The sequence below is a fragment of the Homo sapiens genome, chromosome 10 (assembly GCF_000001405.40).
Source record: "Homo sapiens chromosome 10, GRCh38.p14 Primary Assembly".
Classification (NCBI taxonomy): Eukaryota; Metazoa; Chordata; class Mammalia; order Primates; family Hominidae; genus Homo; species Homo sapiens.
The window spans coordinates 95,245,557-95,266,239 of NC_000010.11; the positions used below are offsets into that span (position 1 = coordinate 95,245,557).

The following is a 20,683-nucleotide window of genomic DNA, read 5'->3' on the forward strand; positions in this document are numbered from 1 at the left end:
AATAAGTTGTGGTTTCTCACATGTTTTTACAAAGCTATCATCCTCAAGGGTTGGCCCCCAAGTTGTTTGTCAGGCAAAGCTAATACTGGAACTTGATACGAAGTATGGCTCATTACTTCCCAGCTGCTCAGCTACTCCAAGCAAAAGAGGAAAGCAGTGGTAGAACAGTATCATTTTAGCATAAAAGAAGCACATGCAAACACATGGCCCATGGTTTCCTAATTTCCTATGGTTGTAAACTGCCACTCTCTCTAAAGAAATCACACAAATGGGGAGGAAGCCCAGGTGTCGGGTGTGTTCAGAAGAGAACTTTCTTATCAGAAAGGGCTCCCCAGGAAGCTGAATCTTCGGCTGCGGACTTTGAGGAGGGAGGTTCATCTTCCAGAGGGCACAAGCCTCTCAGCCAACATGCCAATCCCTTTGCAGCCTGGCTGAGGCAGGTCTCACACTCACCATCACAAGGTGTCCCCTCACTGGAGCATCCACTGTCTCTTTGCAGATGGGTCCATGAGAGAGATAGAGGGCATAGAAAACAAGACCCCACTGAAGTGCCCAAGCCTCAAGAAAGGAAGAGAGAGTGTGGAGGACTGGGCATCACAGGGACCAGGAAAGGGTACAAAACCCAGCTCTCTGGAAAAGACTGCCCATGAGCATCACAGGAGGTGCTGATGAGGAACTACCAGGGAAGAAGCGGGTGTGAGGGCTGCTGATCATCTTTGTGAGGGGAATAAAGCATCCCTTCTTCAATACATCCACCTGTCACAATTTCTCGACGTATAGCATTGTTATTAAGTGAAGATACTTTTACCACTGTCCACTTAAACATGATCATAATAAATGTACGTTACATAATGTCTTCAGTGAGAAGCATGTCTCCTGAGACCTGCAGAACCCTACGGGGTGACCCTGGGTGCCTCAACATCAAAGCTCACCCCAAGGACAAGAAAGCCTCTTCATGACATTTCAAACACCACAATAACTATGAAGCGAGTACTCAGTTACGATGATGGATGTTTTACACAACTTATGCCATTTCATGACCATGATAATCTTAGAGGAAAGGAGTTTTATCCCTGATGGACAGATGAGAAAACAGACCTGGGAAGGTTGAGATTTGCCAAAGGTCACAGAATAAGAACATGGCCACAAGGGGGAGCTCTTGGGCCCTCAAGAGGCCACCCACCTTAGAGCAAATGCAAACACATGCCCCCAAGCAAAGCCAGCCCCTGGCTTCACCGAGCACTAATTCATTCTCATTCTGCTGCTCATTGCCCATGGCCTTCATCACTGAAGTTCCTCAGCCACTACCAAGGTATTGTTTCTGGGCTCAAAGCAAATAAATGGCCAAGGGACAGACCAACAGGCTCCCACAGCAGTCAGGCTCACCCCAACCTTAGCATCCTCTTGCACATGTGACAGGACACAGTTGGCCAGGCCTGGAGTTTCTTAAATACAGACCCAGATGGGAAAATGTGGTCAGCACTCTCTTCCTCTCTCTCTCTCTCTCTCCCTCTATCTCTTTTTAAAGAATTTCAGCATTTTAAAAGCCCATGCCCTCCAAAGCAGGCTCCAGAGTGTGTTCACCTGTGCTTCCACAATGACTGACTCTCACATCTGACCTTGAACAAGAGCCTCTGACTGCAGATGGAGCTGATTACCTTTTTCTTCAGACTCCAGGATTTCCTGCAAAACCAAGAAAGACGTGGACTGTTTCGGGGGCTCATTCAACTCCTGTTTCTCCTGAAGCATCTTGTAAACTTCAGATTCTTTGTCGATGACAAGGCTGCTTGGAGGCTGAGCATGGTCTAAGCTGTAAAGAATGTTTGAAAAATTGATTAGGACATGACAGAAGTTAAAAATAACTTCACCAGGAACCTCCTCCAGGCAGACACTGCTGATTTGAAGGATGGATAGAAATGATCTCAAAGCCCTCTCCTAAATCAGCCACAGACCTGCTGCCAGCACAGTGAAACTGAGATGTCTTTGTAGTCAGAGCTGGCTGCTGCTTCAATGCAATCAGAGGCTCTTCTTCTAAATAGCTTCAGTAGCTCAATTACTTTTTGGCCTAATCCAGTGGAATGAGAATGCTCTATCTCTTTATAAATTCCATCAGCAGCATTATGTCCAGAGAAAATTTAGAGAAAAAAAAATGTCAACCACAAGCCAACCATGAAGAACTCAGCCGGGTCCCCCTTGTATGGGCCACAAACATTGCTTGCACAAGCAGGAATCATAGTGTTATTCATTCCCGACGATCTCACAGTGCTTTCCCTGTCTATAAATACTTCCTGATTCTCAAGGCCAGGCACTTGGGTCTCCTCACCTATAACACAGAGGTAACAGTACTTTCCTTGCCTGGTTCACAGTTTGGTGGTAAGGATGGGACACGCAAGTGCTTTGTGAACTGTTGATGTTCAGGCCCAGGGACTGGGCAAGCCAGGCCTTGTCTTCCCCACCTTCCTCCTGTCATGCTGGGTGACCCAGAACAAGATAAGACAGGCAGAGCCTGCCTCTTTCCCTGAGGGCTCCACTTTCTAAGCAGTGGACGGTGACAGGGAGGTAGTCTCTCATCAGCTATACCTGTAAATCTATCCTCCATCTGACCCCTTCTCACCTCCCCACCTCCCCCAGGTCCAAGCCATGCCATGCTTAGGCCAAAGTGATGGCCTCTATTCAAAATATCAGAGTGATATTTTTTGTTTTTTAGAGACAGGGACTCACTCTGTCACCCAGGCTGGAGTACAGTGGTGCAATCACAGGTAACTGTAACCTCGAACTACTGGCCTCAATAGATAAATCCTCCTGCCTCGGCCTCCTGAGTGGCTAGGACTACAGGTGTGCCACCATCCCCCGCTGATTTTGTCATTATTTTGTAGAGACAGAGTCTTGCTGTGTTGCCCAGGCTGGTCTCAAAGTCCCAGCCTCAAGTGATCCTCCAGCCTCGGACTCCCAAAGCGCTAGGATTATAGGCATGGGCCAGAGTGCCTGGCCTAGAATGATATTTTAAACATGAATCAGACTGTGTCATGCTGTGGCTCAATGTATTCTCATTTGACTTAGCACAAAATATTTAGTTTTAATACTAAAATATATGTTTAATCAAATTCAACTTTTTTGGAGTAAATGTTATCACAGAGGAGAAAGTCCCTCACATATGTGACCCAAACTTCTCCCTCCACACACATCCCCTGCCAGCCCTGGCCCACTCTGCTCTACTGAGACCAGGCTTCCCGCTGTGCCTGGGAAACACTAGCTTCACAGCCTATGCACTTACTGCACCCTCAGCCTGCAATGCCCTTCCCAGGTGTTGTCATGGCTCCCATGCTTCATCCAGGTCTCTGCTCAAGTGCACTCCTCAGAGAGGCCTTCCTGACCCCGACTCCAAACAGTCCGCCACATCCCCACTATCACTCTTAACTCCCTACCTGCTCTCTCACCATGGATTCCAGTGTATTCCCTTATTTCTTTGTTGTCTATCTCCCCCTGGAAAGTAAGCCCCAGGAGGGCAGGAGCATGGCCTGTCTTGCTCCCCATCACATTCCCAGGCCCGGCTCAGTGCCTGGCACAGGTCACAGTTCAGCAGGCAGCAGGCATCAGGCAAGTGAACGAACACTGCAGAATGGGTCCAGGGCCTCCTTCCTCCTTGCTGTGCTCCCCCTGTTCCTGCAGGCTCACGAGGTCCTCCAGGGCAGCCAGCCTCTGAGGGTTGTGCCAGGGACATGGGCAGCCCCACCTCCTGGCCCCAGATCACCACCTTCCTCTCAGCTGAGCTGCTAAGGAGAAAGGCCAGTGTGCCCAGTGGAACCAAAGAGCAAATATCAGATGGTGGGGCAATTTATTGATGCAGATGGATAGATTTGTATATAAACAAGTTGTGCTTCCTGAGTAATAAAGCTATAAAGTCTCCAGCCCACCAGGCTGCCTCCCAGCTTTACAGATGCAGGCAGTGGCCAGGAGTGGTTTTATTCAGCAACTCTAAACAGACTCTCTTTAGGGCTGGAGCCACTTTCACAGGTGCAAATGAATTATATCAGTTACGCTTACTCATTTCCAGGGTATATGTTTTCCCTGGGTAATTCTCCGCAAGTTCCCTTTTCCTCTCCCTCTCTTCCTCTCCTTTCTTCCTTTCTCTTTTCTGAGACAACCTCTGGGGCACGTTCAGTACTCAGGTCCCCAGCTAAAGGCAGAGTCAATCATAGCAATCAAGGTCCAGGTGTTTCCCTTCCACTCCAACCATGTTCTCACAATAAAGGAAAAGGCACCCAAAGAGTGGCATATGCTTCATGGCTACCAAAGAAGGTCAGAGTTTAAGTAGCAAGATTCATGGGTTGGTCACTCCGGCCGGCTGCATTTGGGGAAGGGAAAGCAGCTATCCCTGCCTGTCCTGCCCACTCCTGCTTGGCCTCTTCCCCCACCTGCAGGGAACTGTGGGTGCCTCTCAGGGCAGGCAATGGGGCCACCTGGGGGAGTTGTTTTAACCAAGGGTCTTTCTTTGTCTCACTTTCCAGCCCTTTCTTTGAGTTATATGCCTGACTCTTTGAGTCCTGAGTTTGGAACTTGCCCCATAATAAGCATATTACATTATTTTTGGATAAATCTTTTTTCTATTACACTTAGGACTATTTTAAAATTGAGATCAGACTATGGAATGTTCTTGGGAAAGATTTTTCTTCTTCTTTGGTGTATGTTATGTCTGGAAGCCACCAATGGAACACACCAAAAAAATGACAGAACCCAGACCACAAGGCCATCACATATTCTTCCAGCAAATCACCTTGTGAGGGATTTCTATAATTTAAAAAAAAAAAAAAACTTACCATTTTTCTCAAATAATGATAGTATCTTTAAACCACTGGACAATTTATAAAGGACTCTCAATATCTATTACCTTACTTAAGGTATTGATACACCTGACTCAAAAATAACATCCTAAGATCCAACGTCTAAGTCTTAGACACTAGATTACAAGGTATTGACATGATACCACAATATCTTAAAAAATGATGACAAAAATATGAAGGAGAAATGGAGCAAAAAATTTCTCGTTTTTATATTAAAAACAGCAATGAAAGAATATTACAGTGATATGGCTTCAGAAAATATAATACACACCACTCAGTCTCCAGGAGAAAAAGTTTTGACGGCGTAACAGTGAAAATGAACACTTTCTTCTGAACCCACTCTATACAGTTTTAATAACGAGTTTAAGCAAATTCAACTACTTTGGAGTAACAATACGTTACACAAAGTTTCCTAGTTCTTGTTTCTCCCTGGGAGCTGATGTGTATCTGTTTCCTAAATGTTTAATATTTTCTCCCACTATTTTAGGACGTGACCTGAGGGCCCCAGGGTTATTCTAGCCAAGCCACTCCCATCCCTGCCAAATAAGATGGCTGACACAGCCAGGCGTAGGAGGATCCTAGTGGTCTTTAGAACATAAGCAGAAACTCCCCTTGAGCCCACCTCCCAGAGGAGGATTTTGGAGGCTGAGCCTGCAGACCTTATGTGTTTCTCACACCTGCTCCAGCCAAAAGGGCAGCTGGGGTGAGGGTCAGAAGGACGAGGAGGATGGAAAGCAGTACGCCCATGGCTCTGGAGCATGGGTCAGCACAGCAACCCTGGGATGAAAGTCTACTCCATCAGAACCATGAAGTGCCCAGAGTGAGGATATAAGGGGCTTTTTTTTTTTTTTAACTTGGGCCATCATCTGTGGCAGCAACTTAATTATCTGTATATAAATCTCAGCTAGGCCAGGTGCGGTGGCTCACACCTTTAGGAGGCCGAAGCAGGTGAATTGCCTGAGCTCAGGAGTTCGAGACCAGCCTAGGCAACACGGTGAAACTCCTATCTCTACTAAAATCCAAAAAAAATTAGCCAGGTGCTGCAGCGTGTGCCTGTAATCCCAGCTACTTGGAAGGCTGAGGCAGTAGAATCGCTTGAACCTAGGAGGCAGAAGTTGCTAAAACAAGACAGCCATAAGAAAAAAATCCTCATTGCTGATACAACCTTAGTAGGGTCATTTTCTCACACAGTAAGAACATTTTGATACTTTAATAAAACTACCTGTATGTGAGATAAAAATTGGAATAGAAACGGGGATTACGTGAATTATTGAAAGCATCCAGACAGGAGAAGATGGTCTCCTCATAAAAATATTTTTCCTGTCTGAGAAGATGAGGTAGACATATTTTTCCCTGTTTCACCCAGTAAAACCAAAAACCCTGGACATTACATATAAAACAACATGAGAAGACTCTGACAGGGCAACGGAAGCCACACTGGCTAGGGACCCCACGTCCTGAGGACCACGATGGTGAGCTCCCAGGGTGTTCTTGTTTCCTTGGACATCCCAGACATGGAGCGGAGGGCAGCAACCTGGAAAGGGCAATGGGCACAGACAGAAGAAGTCTCAAGAGGAGCCTGCTGTATCTGACCAAATAACCAGAAAGGGGCAGCCCAGCAAAACACAACACATTGAAACAACACTATTCTCCAGCCAAATGCCAGAAAAGGCCAAGTGGGGGGTCCAGACTTCTAGTCTCACCAGGCTATGATGTGGTTCCCCAACTATCTCACTGGGGTAGATTCAGAGAAAGCCCAATAGAGAGTCCATATTTCATCCTTACCCAGCTGTAATGAAGAAAACCTAGGAGAGAATCAGGACTCTCACCACTGCTCAGCAGTGTCTAGGCCACCACTCACCCATAAGGTGTCAGTGGAAGCCATATGGGGAGCCAGAACTCCCACCCCATCCAGCAGTAATGAGTGGCCCCAATGACCTCAGGTGTGACATAGGCAGAGTGGGGAAAGTGGACTTTCTACCCCCACCTGTCAGTAATGAGGCAGCATCCCCAATCCCATATCTGAGAGGAAGCCAGTGAATACAGAAGGTTTTAATGCGATCCAGAATCTAATAACATAGTAACAAGAATGTTCAAGATTCAGTTGAAAAATCACATCTCTCAGAAGAACCAGGAAGATCTCAAACTGTAAATAAGACAATAAAGAGATGCCAACACCAAGATGACAGAGATGTTGGGATTATCTAACAAAGATGGTAACACAGTCATCATAAAAATGTTTCAATGAACAATTATGAGCACATTTAAAACAAATAAAGTCTCAACAAACAGAAGATATAAAGAATGAAATGGAAATTCTAGAACTGACAAAATAACTGAAATAAAACCACAGTGGATACACTCAGCAGCAGCATGAAGGAGACAAAGGAAAGAATCAGTGAACTGGAAGGTGAATATTAGAAATTATACAATTTCAAGATCATAGAAAAATAGAATGGGGAGAAAAAAAAGAAATGAAGAGCCTCACAAACCTATGGGAATATATAAAAGATCAAAAATTCATGTCAATGGAGTCTTGGAAGAAGAGAAAAAAGGTGGAACTAGAAAAGTACTAGAAGAAATCATGTCTGAAGGTGTCCTAAATTTGGCAAAAGACATAAAGAAGTGAAGTGAACAGGAAACAGGATAAACCTAAAAAAATCCACACCAAAACATATCATAGTAAATTTCTGAAAACTACAACAAAGAAAGAATTTCCAAAGCAGTAGGAGAAAAATGACGCCTTATCTAGAGGGGAAAACCAATTCAAAAGACAGCAGATTTCTTATCAGAATCCATAAAGAAAAGAAGGAAGTAGCACAATGCTTTCAGCTGCTGAAAGAAAAAAAACTGCCAGCCTAGCATTCTGTATCCAGTGGAAATATCCTTCAAGAATGAAGGAGAAATCAAGACATTCTCAGATACAGGGAAACTGAGAGCATTTATCTCTAGCAAAGCTACCCTAACAATGTTTAAAGGAAGTTCTCTAAATAGACGAAAAAAAATAAAAGAAGGAACCAGCCAGGCATGGTGGCTCACCTGAGGTGAGGAGTTCAAGACCAGCCTGGCCAACATGGCAAAAACCTGTCTCTACTAAAAATACAAAAATTAGCTGGGCGTGGTGGCGGATGCCCGTTAATTCCAGCTACTCAAGAAGCTGAGGCATGACAATCACCTGAACCCGGGAGGTGGAGGTGGCAGTAAGCGGAGATCGCACCACAGTAGTCCAACCTGGGTGACAAGAGCGAGACTCTGTCTTAAAAAAAAAAAAAAGAAGGAATCTTGGAATATCGAGAATGAAAAAAGAACCCATAAGCAAAAATATGGGTTTAAAAAATACTTGCCCTCTCAATATATTCTAACTCTTGTTGACAAGTAAAGCAAAAATTATAACACTGTCTGATGTGGTTCTAAGTGTATAAAAGGATCTATTTTAACTATATTGTAAGCAGGGGAGGGCAAAGGTTCACAAAGAGAAGCAAAGTTTCTATACTTCTTTGAACTCCTGAAATGATGACGCCAGTAAACTGTGATAAGTTATATATACACAATGTAATACCCAGATAACTACTGAAAAGGTTATACAAAGACATAGAATAAAAAACACTACAAATAAAAATGTTATTCTAAAAAAAATGATGTCAAATAACCCACAGGAAAGCAGGAAAAAGAAAACAGAAATGGAAAACAGAAAACAAAATAAAATACCAGACTTAAGCCCTAACATATCAATCATCGCATTAATGTTCATCATCTAAATAAACCAACTGAAAGACAGAAATGAACAGGGTAGATACAAAACAGTACATTTTAAAACATGACCCAAATACATGCTATCAACATAAAACTCATTTCCAATATTAATGTATAAGCAGGCTAAAAGTATAATGGTAGAGAACAATATATCATGCCAATATTAATCAAAAGAAAACAGGAGTGGCTATATTATTAATAATATCTGATAAGTATACCTCTGAACAAGTAAATTTACCAGAGATGGAAATGGACATTATATAACCACAAAAGGGTTAACTCACCAACAGCTATAGCAATGTTAAATGTGTGTGCATCAAACAACAGAGCTTCAAAATATGTAAAGCAAAAACTGATAGAACTGAAAGGAAAAGAGACACATTCACAATTTTAGTTGAAGACTTCTATACCCCTCTCTTAACAACTGATAGATCAACTAGACAGATAATCAGAGAGGATACAGAAAAATTCAACAATACTATCATGCCAGGCACGGTGGCTCACGACTATAATCCCAGTACTTTGGGAGGTCAATGCAGGAGGATTGCTTGAGCTCAGAAGTTCGAGACCAGCCTGGGAAACATGGTGAAACCCTGTCTCTACAAAAATTACAAAAAAAATTAACCAGACATAGTGACACATACTTGTAGTCTCAGCTACTCAGGAAGCTGAGGTAAGAAGATCACTTGAGCCCAGGAGGCAGAGGTTGCAGTGAGCCACTGCACTCCAACCTGGGCAAGAGAGAGAGACTGCCTCTAAGTAAGTAAGTAAGTAAGTAAATAAATAAATAAATCAGAAATGAAAGAGACATTACAACTAATACCACAGAAATAAGGATAATAACAGACTACTATGAACAATTATACATTAACAAATTAGAAAACCTAGAAGAAATAGATAAATTCCCAAAAACACAACCTACCAAGACTGAGTCATACAAAAATTAAAAATCTCTAAACAGACCTATAACTAGTAAGGAGGTTCAATCAGTAATCAAAAACATCCCAACAAAGAAAAGCCCAGAACCAGATGGCTTCACTGGTGAATTCTATCAAACAATTTTAAAAGAATTAAAACTAATCCTTCTCAAACTCTTCCAAAAAACTGAAGAGAGAATGCTTCCAAACTCATTCTATGAGGCCACTATTACCCTGATACCAAAACCAAAGATACTAAAAAAAAAAAAAAAAAAGCTACAGACTGATATTACTAATGAATATTGATGCAAAAATACTCAACAAACTACTAGCAAACCAAATTCAACAGCATATTAAAAGGATTAAACACCATGACCAAGTGGAATTTAATCCTGTAATGCAAGGATGTTTTAACATATAACAATCAATCAGTGTAACACATCACATTAACAGAATGAAGGACAAAAACTACAGTCATCTGAATGCAGAAAAAGCATTTGACAAAATTTAACAAACTTTCATGATAAAAATACTCAACAAAACAGGAATGAAAGGAAATTACCTCCACATAATAAAGTCCATGTATGAAAAACCCACAGCTAACCTCTCACTCAAAATGAAAAACCAAAAGCTGTTCCTCTAAGATCAGCAGCAAGGCAAGAATGCCAACTTTTACCACCTCTTTTCAACATAGCATTGGAGGTCCTAATCAGAGACCTTAGGCAAGTCAAAGAAATAAAAGGCATCCAAATTGGGAAGGAAGAAGTAAAATTGTATCTGTTCAAAGATGCGATGATCGAATACACAGAAAACCCTAAAGATCCCCCCCCACTACACACACACACACACACACACACACACACACACACAATTGGAACTAATAAATGAATTCAGCATAGTTGCAAAATACAAAATCAACAAACAAAAAAGTTGTTTCTATACACTACCAATGAATAATCCAAAAAGAAAACTAAGAAAACAATCTTGTGTAATCATCAAAAAGAACAAAATACCTAATAAACTTAACCAAGGAGGTGAAAGACTTGTACACTGAATAGAGTACATTTTAAAATTATAAAACATTTTAAAATGTTTAAAAATATAAAACATTGTTGAAAGAAACCAAAGAATGCACAAATAAACAAAAAGACATCTCATGTTCATGGACTGGAAGACCTAAGACTGTTAAAATATCTGTACTACCCAAAGCAATCTACATCTTCAATGCAATCACTATCAAAACCCTAATGGCATTTTTTGCAGATAAAAAAACATCATTGTAAAATTATATAAAATCTCAAAGGATCCTAAATAGCCAAAACAACCTTGAGAAGGAAAAACAAAAATGGAGGCCTCATACGTCCTTATTTCAAAACATTTTACAAAGCTACAGTAATCAAAACAGTATGGTACTAGCATAAGACAGATATAGAGACCAATGAAATAGAATAGAGAGCCCACAAATAAACCTTTGCATACACTGTCAAATGATCTTCAACAAGGGTGCCACAGCTACACAATGGTTAAAGAATAATTTCTTCAATGGTGTTGGAAAAACTGGATATTCACATGTAAAAGAATGAAGTTGGACCCTTACCTAACACCACATAAAAAAATAATTTGGCTGGAGACAGTGGCTCATGCCTGTAATCCCAGCACTTTGGGAGGCTGAGGCAGGCAGATCACTTGAGGTCAGGAGTTCAAGACCAGCCTGGCCAACACAGTGAAACTCCATCTCTACCAAAAACTACAAAAAAATTAGCCAGGAGTGGCAACGCAAGCCTGTAGTTCTAGATACTCAGGAGGCTAAGACCAAAGAATCACTTGAACCCAGGAGGTAGAAGTTGCAGTGAGCCAAGATCATGCCATTGCACTCCAGCCCAGGCAACAGAATGAGACTTCATCTTAAAAAAAAAAAAAAAGAAAGAAAGAAAGAAAGAAAGAAAGAAAGAAAGAAAGAAAGAAAGAAAGAATTCAAAATAGATTAAAGACCAACATAAGACCAGAAACTATAAATATAAAACTTCTAAAAGAAAACATAGGGGGTCAGGTGCTGTGGCTGACACCTGTAATCTCAGCACTTTGGGAGGCCAAGGTAGGAGAATCACTTGAGCCCAGAAGTTCGAGACCAGCCTGAGACCCTGTCTCTATTAAAAAATAAAAATAAAAATAAAAAAAGCTTCCTAACATTGAATTTGGTGATGATTTCTTGAATATGACACAAAAACACAAGCAACAAAAGCAAAAATAAACAAATAGAACTACATCAAACTTTAAAATTTCTGTACCACAAAGGAAACAACAGAGTGAAAAGGCAACTTATGAAATAGAAAAAATATTTGCAAAACATACGTATAATTAATATCCAGAATATATAAAAAAAAACTCCTACAACTCAACAAAAAACAAATAGCTCGATTAAAAAATGATCAAAGGATTTGAATAGACATTTAGCCAAAAATGATTAACAAGCATATGAAAAGATACTCAACATCACTAATCATTAAAGAAATGCAAATCAAAACCAAAATGAGATATCACCTCACATCTATTAAGATGGCCACTATCAAAAAGACATAAAACAAATGTTGGTAAGGTTGTGGAGAAAATGGAGCCCTTGCGTATTGATGATGGGAATGTAAAATGGTGCAGCTGCTGTGGAAAACAGTATGGAGATTACTCAAAAAATTAAAAATTTACCATATGATCCAGCAATCCCACTTTTGATTATATACAAAAGAAATGAAGAAGGATCTCAAAGAGATATTTGCTCACCCATGTTCATTACAGCATTACTCACAATAGCCAGGAGGTGCAAGCAACCTAAACGTCCATAAAAACATGTGTATTCGTGTGTTTTCATGCCGCAGATAAAGATATAGCCAAGACTGGGCAATTTACAGAGAAAGAGGTTTAATTGGACTTACAGTTCCACATGGCTGGGGTGGCCTCACAATCATGGTGGAAGGAGGAGCAAGTCACATCTTACATGGATGGAGCAGGCAAAGAGAGAGAGAGCTGGTGAAGGGAGCTCCTCTTTTTAAAACCATCAGATCCTGTGAGACTTAATCACTATCATGAGAACAACATGGGAAAGATTTGACCCCATGATTCAATTACCTCACACTTCGTCCCTCCCACAACACGTGGAATTCAAGATGGGATCTCGGCGGGGACACAGACAAACCATATCAACATGAATAAAGAAAATGTGAAAAAAAAATGGGATATTATTCAGCCTTAAAAAAAGAAGGCCCCATCTCTACTAAAAAAATACCAAAAAAATTAGCCGGGCATGGTGGCACACGCCTGTAATCCCAGCTACTCGGGAGGCTGAGGCAGAGAATTGCTTAAACCTGGAGGGGCAGAGTTTGTAGTAAGCCAAGATCGCGCCACTGCACTCCAGCCTGGGGGACAGAGCGAGACTCTGTCTCAAAAAAAAGAAAAGAAGAAGGAAATTCTGTCATATATTACAACATGGGAAAACCTTGAGGACATTATGGTAATTGAAAAAAGACAAATGCATGACTCCAATTATATGAGATATCTAAAGTAATCAAACTTAGAAAGTATTATAGTGGTTGCTAGGGGCTTGAGAGATGGGGACTTTAAGGTGAGGTTGTTTTTCAATGGGTACAGAATTTCAGTTTTTCAGGATAAAAAAGTTCTAGAGATGTGTTGCACAACAATGTACACATAGTAAACATTACAATACACTTAAAAACGTTTAAGATCATAAATTTCATGTTTTTTAACACAATAAAAAAAGACAAACCCATAAAACAGAAAAAAAAGGAACAAACTATTGATACATAAACCTATCGATACAAAAACCTAAATAAATCTCCAGACAATATACTGAGTAGAAAAGCTAATCCCAGGTTACATACTGTATGATTCCATTAATATAACATTTTTGAAATAATAAAAATATAAAGAGTAGATAAGTAAGTTGCCAGGGGTTAAGGAGGATGAGGGAAAAGGAGGGAAGCGAGTGTGGCTATAAAAGAGCGACATGAGAAACCCTTGCAGAGATGGAAATGTTCAGTATCTTGAGTGTATTGATGTCAATATCCTAATTTTGTTACTATTGTGTTTTCAAGATGTTACCATTGAGGGAAATTGGTAAAGGGTATAGGGGATCTCTGTATTATTTCCTATAACTGCAAGTGAATCTACAATTATCTCAAAATAAAAATTTTAATTAATTTTAAGAAATATTTTCCCCAAATGGTGGAAGTTAAGTGCTAGCTGGAAATAATGTAGAGGAATACTTGTTTTTTATGTAGGTGGGGGAAAGGAGGTAGGCGGACCCAGAAAAATCTTTCCTATCTCATATCCCAAGAAATGAGATGTCCCAGCCTGATTACCCCAATGTTCACCCAAAAACGCCATTCTGGGAAACCCTATGTAATCATTTTCAGAAGGGAAGCCTGGCCTGTGTGCTTCCTAAGTTTTGGTCTTCAAAGGCACACATATTGGTCCTGCAATAAGAAACCAGAGGGGTAATTGTGGGCACCAGGAGAAGAGAGAGGAATGCCCGCACAGCAGAGCCAGTTTTCTGTGGGTGGCAGGCAGGTTTAGCTAGAGGGGCAAGCAGCCTTCATGATAGAGGTGTACTTCTGATTCAGCTCTGAAGAAGCCAGGGTTAACATCATCCTTGTGATAATATTTGAATAGAAAATGATGCATCCCTTTATTTCCAGGGCAGCTGCTTAGAAATCTCCCTCATGAATGTTTGGGGGCAACACCTTACAACACAATTTGGAAGAGCTATTATCTAGGGCCTAGTATGTTGGTTACAGGAGCTCTCCAATCATTCCTTGAAGAGAACACCACCACCCCATCAGTAAGCTGATTAGCTGTGTGGGCTGGCTGAATTTAATGGGCAAGAAAGAAGTGTACCATAAGCCACAGCAAAGTCTTCTCCATTACATTTGTCTATGTGCTTCCACACTTCTGTAGCCCCCAGTTCTCAGAAGTGATGGGGATGGAGTTCCTCATGGAAACTAAAGTTAGCAATAATTAGCATTTAGTGAGCACCTACCAGGGGCCAGGCACTGTGCTGAGTGCTCTGTGCACATCCCATTGCATTGTCTCAACAACCTGGTGGTAAAGAAGTTAGTATTATTTCCACCTTAGATCTCAGGAGACTGAGTTTCAGAGATGTTACATGGTTTTCCCAAGGTCACACAGCTAGTAAGAGGCAGAGCTGGAATTCAAGGCTCAGGCCCCTCTATCTACCAAGCCTTTAGGAAGTATCAGGCAGTATCATATAAACAATGAAATCTGGGCTCTGAATTTTCTGATTTTGACCAGGGTCCCCTCAACTCAATTAAAAGAGAACAGAGGAAAGGTGCTAGCTTTCTGCTGAACTGACATTTTCTTCGCCCACCTGGTACACAGTAGGCACTCAATAAATGATTATGCTGAACTGACCTAGAGGAAAAAGGCCACTGAGGACCTCCCCCTCCACTGTGTGCACTGGGAGGAAGGGCAGCAGAGAAACCCCCTCACCTGCCTTACCAGTTGGCAAGGCTATCTCTGTTCTTATCTGACTGGGACACAGCTCTGTAAAGACCTACAAGACAGATAGCAACAGACACACCACAATACTTTCAAGTGCATAGGACAAAGAAATCCAGGGCAAGCCCCAGAGAATGGGTGATGACCTCAGATGCAAAGTATGTAGTGAGCCAATTCTGGAACTTCAGCGAATTTCACAGACTAAACAGTGGGAGGGAGCGAGCACTTGGGACTTGTGCTGACTGAGCAAGCAAAGTTACCAGGTGACTGCTGGGCTCACAGGAGAATCTTTCTTTGTGGGAATGCACTAGAAATACACCAGCAAGCTGAGATCCCCCCATACAAGCAGCATGGCCAGTTAGGCAGCTCCTCTGCCTTAGGCTGTTGGTTTTCCCACTGTTTCTGGGTTCAGCCTCAAAGAGTGCGGGGTGGAACAGAAACAGGACCCTCTCTGCTGAGAAAATCTGCAAAGAGACAAATTTTGATACTCGGCAACTACTGCAGCCAAAGAGTCTGGGCCAGGGGCTAGAGGAAAGGCTTAAACAGCCACCTGGTAGTTTCAGACTCAGAGGAGGGAGCAGGCAGGGAACATGAGAGAAGAGAGACATTAATGAAGGAAAAATAGCCAAGGCCATACTAAAAATATTTCCCAGGCACATATTTCTCCCAATGCATAGCAGCTCTTTCAATTAAGGATGTGTCATTTCCTGGGTTACTAAGTCCAGATCATGGAATATTCCACTCTGGGACAGTAAAAGAGGGTCATGTTCTCAGCCTCCCCAGCACCAAAGCAGCTAAAAACAGGGATCACAGGCCCCCAGTGTTTCCACCACTCCTGAGCTGCTTGGAAGCTTCCTCTCAGGGTGTGTCTGTGGAAAGCCTAGGGGGACCAGTATGACACCGTTTCTCAGGTATCTCAAATGTCCCCACAGTCGCCTGGAAGAGAATCATCATCTCAAGCCAGTAAGCCCTTGCAAGAACCAGAATTTGAGGGAAGAAGAAACATTGGTGGAGACTGCCTTGGTTACTATGATAAATGGCCAGTAACCTTTAACATCTTCTAAAGCCAAAGTCACACAGAAAAAAGTCTGCCCTACCAGACTCAAAGAAATGTTAAAAGAAATCTTAGTGTCAGCTGGGCGCAGTGGCTCACGTCTGTAAGCCCAGCACTTTGGGAGGCCGAGGCAGGCAGATCACCTGAGGTCGGGAGTTTGAGACCAGCCTGATCAACATGGAGAAACCCCATCTATACTAAAAACACAAAATTATCCGGGCGTGGTGGCGCATGCCTGTAATCCCAGCTACTCGGGAGGCTGATGCAGAAGAATCGCTTGAACCCGGGAGGCGGAGGTTGTGGTGAGCAGAGATCACTCCATTGCACTCTAGCCTAGGCAACAAGAGTGAAACTCCGTCTCAAAAAAAAAAAAAAAGAAAGAAAGAAATCTTAGTGTCCTCTCAGTGTCAGGCACAGGGAACAGGGATGCACATGTCATGGGTGTCCAATGACATCTGTCTCTCTCTGGGGAGGGGAGGGGTGACTATATGCAAGGAATGCCCAAGGAGCCCTTGAGAGGTGTTGCTACAACAGCCCTTTCCAAACATTTAAGTAGTTTGGAACCTCTAGTATCTTAACCTCTCTCAACCTGCATTTGAAGCCATTGGTTTGCAATTTAATTACCCTAAGAGTTGAGCAGGTTCTTGTTAAAGGTGAATTGGGGAGAAACTGAATGGCAAAGCGGGCTTCAGAGGCAATACAAAAATTGATGATTCCAAGTGAGAAAGGTTCTCAGAGCTAAGGCAAGTTTGGACCACACAGTGTTTTCCAACAAAATTTAAATGTCACCAATAATTAAAAATCAGGAGATTTCCGAAAAAAAGAGGCTTTCCAACTTCTGTTTTAATGGAAATAATTAGCAGAAATGAGACCTGCATGAGGCACGTGGCTGGAGCCAAGGAGCAGCGTCCCCTCCGGACCAGGAATGCACGCTCCAGCTGCCACCCCCACCCCCACCCAGCACCCTTGTTTACTCAGAGCTCTGCCTCAGTTCCTCATCCTGCCTGCCACTTTTGGGTATTTGAGTGGGCAATTCCTAACCTAGTCCACCCACTTTACACCTACAGAGAATTGGCCCCATCTTTAACCCATCCTCAAACCCAGTTCCTTTGCTGGGATTCCCAGTGTTTCTGGATTCATCCTCAAAGAGCCTGAGATGGAGCAGACACTGGGCCCCTCTGCTGGCAAGATCCAGGAGACTCCAATAAAGACTCAAAGGGCTTGGTGGCTCATGCCTGTAATCCCGGAAATTTGGGAGTCTGAGGTGGGAGGATCACTTGGGCCCAGGAGTTCGAGACCAGCCTGGGCAACACAGTGAGACCCCAATCTCTACAAAAAAAAGTAAAACTTAGCCAAGTGTGGTGGCACACACCTGTAGTACCAGCTACTCAGGAGGCTGAGGTGGGAGGATCACTTGAACCCAGGAGGTCGAGGCTGCAGTGAGCTGTGATCAAACCACTGTACTCCAGCCTGGGTGACAGAGCGAAAGCTTGTCTCAAAAAAAAAAAAAAAAGACTCAAAGGCAGCTGCAGCCAGATGATCTGTGACAGAAGAGGACATGCCTCCTCAGTCCCCAGCAAGGCACTTCCTCAGACACCTCTCCCCTTTCCACCTGCAGCCCTACCTCTCCCCCAGTTAAGCCTGCCTCTGTCCCCAGATCAGAACCTATTCCTAGGACAAGCATTTATATCCTCAGGGACCTCTCTTCTTTCATGACCTCTGGTCCACTCTAGGGAAAAAGCAAACACTGCTTCACCAAAACTATGCAGCATGAAGTATTTCTCCCTTGCTTAGTTCAGATGGTGGACATAAGCACAGGCTACTCTAGATTCCCTCAAACACTCCCCGACTAATAATACTGAAGAATTTCTCGGGAAGCAGCAGGCCTGTCAAGGAAGGACTATGTTCAATTAGAAGATGATGACCACAGAAATCAAAACACAAATAAAAACAGTTCTGGAGGATTAAGTGATTTGTTTGTGCTTAACACAATGCTGGGCATTTTACGTATTAATTCTTACTTTTACAGACACCCTATAAAGCAGGAGGTATTGTCCCCTTTGTGTAGATGAAGAAAATGAACACAGAAGTGTTCTGCTAATGTAGTCATTTTTCTCCCTGGAGTAGTGGCTCTTGCACCTGCCTGGGCAGCCCTGGTCCTGATGTGAAAAGCCCCTCCCAGGAGCGGCTCAGAGGAGGACTCCTGGGCTACTTACGGTCTGCTGTTCGCCTCCACCCCGCTGGCAGCAGTCTTTGACTCCAGGGCATTGTTGAAGTTGGAGATATTTTCAGAAGAGTAGAGGCCAGCTGGGTTGTTGTACTGGTTTGTGATGACCCTGGCAGTAGTGCTGGAGGCAGGCGAGGCGGTAAAGGGCATGGCACTTCGGTTGTGGGCGCTTCCTATGTGCAGGACCTCCTGCAGGCAGGGATCAGAGGAGAAATCAAGGGGGGCATCCAATGCAAACCCCTTGATGGGCAGTGCAGGCTGAGCGCCAGGGAGAGGTGTTCCAGCTGCTAAGATGGCCCTAGTTCAACCCAAACTTTAGCTGAGGGACACTGACACACCCACTGAGACACACGGGCAATGACTGGGGAAGTTTCCCACAATGGGCACCTGTGCGAGTTCACACCCCCTGAATCATCTCTACCTTCTGATTCTTCCTTGAGGCCCAGCAAAGCCTGCCCTCTAAGGCACCCTCGGGCAGGACAGCCCTTGATGCTTTGGGCTGTAAGATTCAAGTCAGAGCTAAAACACGCTTTCAGGGCACATACCAAAGAGATTAAAGCACTAGGTGAAGAGAAATATGCAGTCACTTTGGTCAGTGCAAAAGCAGGAGATGATAAAAGGTGGAGATAAATTCTCCATAAGTGAGCAAGTTAGACAAGCAAGGTAAGAGGGTGTGGTGTCACAGGGGAAGCAGCTGCTGACTAGGCAGAGATGGTCTCAGTCTCCTGCAGAGCAAGGGTAAAGGAAATTAAGGATCTATTGTTTCTTCTGGGAGAAAGACAAGGCTAATCAGATAGAAGGTCGGGGATACCTGTTACAGGGGCGGTACCCAGCAGAGCTGCAGAAAAGGACTTTTGAGTTCCTTGTGTTCTCATTCCCCTCTTTCTGTAATTTGAGAAAGTTCCCTCCACCCCCACCCTAGACTTGTTAAGAGTCAGGTGAATAATTACTACAGCTACAACATCTCAGAGCTCCTTTACAAACCCGCAAAGCCACTTTGGAAATTAACATTCCTGTTTTCTAAAACTACAGCTTTTCTACTTTTTCTTTCCCTCCTGCCAGCATCACAGCTTTTCTGATAGCCCAATCAGCAAGGTCCTTTCTATATGGGTGTCTGGACAACCCATGGCTTCTAGGTGATGCATGCTCTGTGCAGCCAGCTGAACTCAAAATGTGTCTTAGTGTCTGTGTTTTCCAGAAAAATCTTCCTGAACTCTAGTCTCTTTCTTAAAACACCCAGGCCCAGAACAGCTGCCTCCAAAAGAGTTCCTGTCATCTGTTGCACTTCCTTTTTTCTCTCCTTTTTTGTTAAATATTCAAGTCTTTTATGCTTTCTTAAAAAAAAAAAATCATGAAAACTAAAAGCTTTATTGAGTACCTAATTTAAAATAAAAGAAAACAACCTGAAAATATTTTTATGTTTAAGACTTCTCTTTTGGGCCGAGCGTGGTGGCTCACGCCTGTAATCCCAGCACTTTGGGAGGCCGAGGCGGGCGGATCACCTGAGGTCCGGAGTTCAAGACCAGCCTGACCAACATGGAGAAACCTCATCTCTACTAAAAATACAAAAATTAGCCAGACATGGTGGCGCATGCCTGTAATCCCAGCTACTCGGGAGGCTGAGGCAGGAGAATCTCTTGAACCCAGGAGGCAGAGGTTGCGGTGAGCCGAGATTGTACCATTGCACCCCAGCCTGGGCAACGAGAGTGGAACTCTGTCAAAAAAAAAAAAAAAAAAAAAAAAAAAGATTTCTCTTTTGGCTGGGTGCAGTGGCTCACGCCTGTAATCCCAACACTTTGGGAGTCCAAATCAGGAGGATTGCTTGAGCCTAGGAGTTCGAAACCAGCCTGGGCAACATAGTAAGACCCCATCCGTAAAAAAAAGTTAGACAGTCAAGTAGCCTGTAGTCCCAGCTACTTGAGAGGGCTGAGGCAGGAGGATCATGTAAGCCCATGAGATGGAGGATGCAGTGTGCCATATCGTGCCACTGCACATCAGCCTGGGTGACAGAGCTAGACTCTCATCCCTAAAAAAACAAAACAGGCCAGGCACGGTGGCTCATTCCTGTAATCGCAGCACTTTGGAAAGCCAACGCAAGAGGATCACCTGAGTTCAGGAATTCAAGACCAGCCTGGCCAACATGGTGAAACCTCGTTTCTACTAAAATATAAAAATTAGCTAGGCGTGGTGGCACCTGCCTGTAATCCCAGCTACTCAGAGGCTGAGGCAAGAAAATCACTTGAACTCAGGAGGCAGAGGTTGCAGTGAGCCAAGACTGCACCATTGCACTCCAGCCTGGGTGACAGAGCAAGACTCCATCTCACAAATAAAAAATAAAAATAAATAACAAAAAATAAAAAACAAC

At 43.2% G+C, this 20,683-nt stretch overlaps 1 protein-coding gene across 1 annotated transcript in view, besides 3 other annotated features; it reads right to left on the reverse strand.

The window, feature by feature from the left end:
- Nucleotides 1-20,683, reverse strand: part of PDLIM1 (PDZ and LIM domain 1) — a 53,432-nt gene that overhangs the window by 7,985 nt on the left and 24,764 nt on the right. The window contains exons 4-5 of the mRNA NM_020992.4: nt 18,308-18,507; nt 1,659-1,810 (exon numbers count right to left, since the gene is read on the reverse strand). Of these exons, the coding sequence (NP_066272.1) occupies nt 1,659-1,810; nt 18,308-18,507 (352 nt within the window). The remainder of the gene's footprint in view (nt 1-1,658; nt 1,811-18,307; nt 18,508-20,683) is intronic.
- Nucleotides 9,134-9,313: an enhancer, noted in NCBI's record as "active region_3793". NCBI's record gives its function as "activates an Ori minimal core promoter by ATAC-STARR-seq in GM12878 lymphoblastoid cells {active_cell/tissue: GM12878}" and the evidence as "EXISTENCE:reporter gene assay evidence [ECO:0000049][PMID:35858748]".
- Nucleotides 14,842-15,531: an enhancer, noted in NCBI's record as "H3K27ac hESC enhancer chr10:97020155-97020844 (GRCh37/hg19 assembly coordinates)". NCBI's record gives its function as "activates a minimal SCP1, AML or CMV promoter by ChIP-STARR-seq in primed H9 embryonic stem cells {active_cell/tissue: H9 hESC(primed)}" and the evidence as "EXISTENCE:reporter gene assay evidence [ECO:0000049][PMID:30033119]".
- Nucleotides 18,754-19,529: an enhancer, noted in NCBI's record as "OCT4-NANOG-H3K27ac-H3K4me1 hESC enhancer chr10:97024067-97024842 (GRCh37/hg19 assembly coordinates)". NCBI's record gives its function as "activates a minimal SCP1, AML or CMV promoter by ChIP-STARR-seq in naive H9 embryonic stem cells {active_cell/tissue: H9 hESC(naive)}" and the evidence as "EXISTENCE:reporter gene assay evidence [ECO:0000049][PMID:30033119]".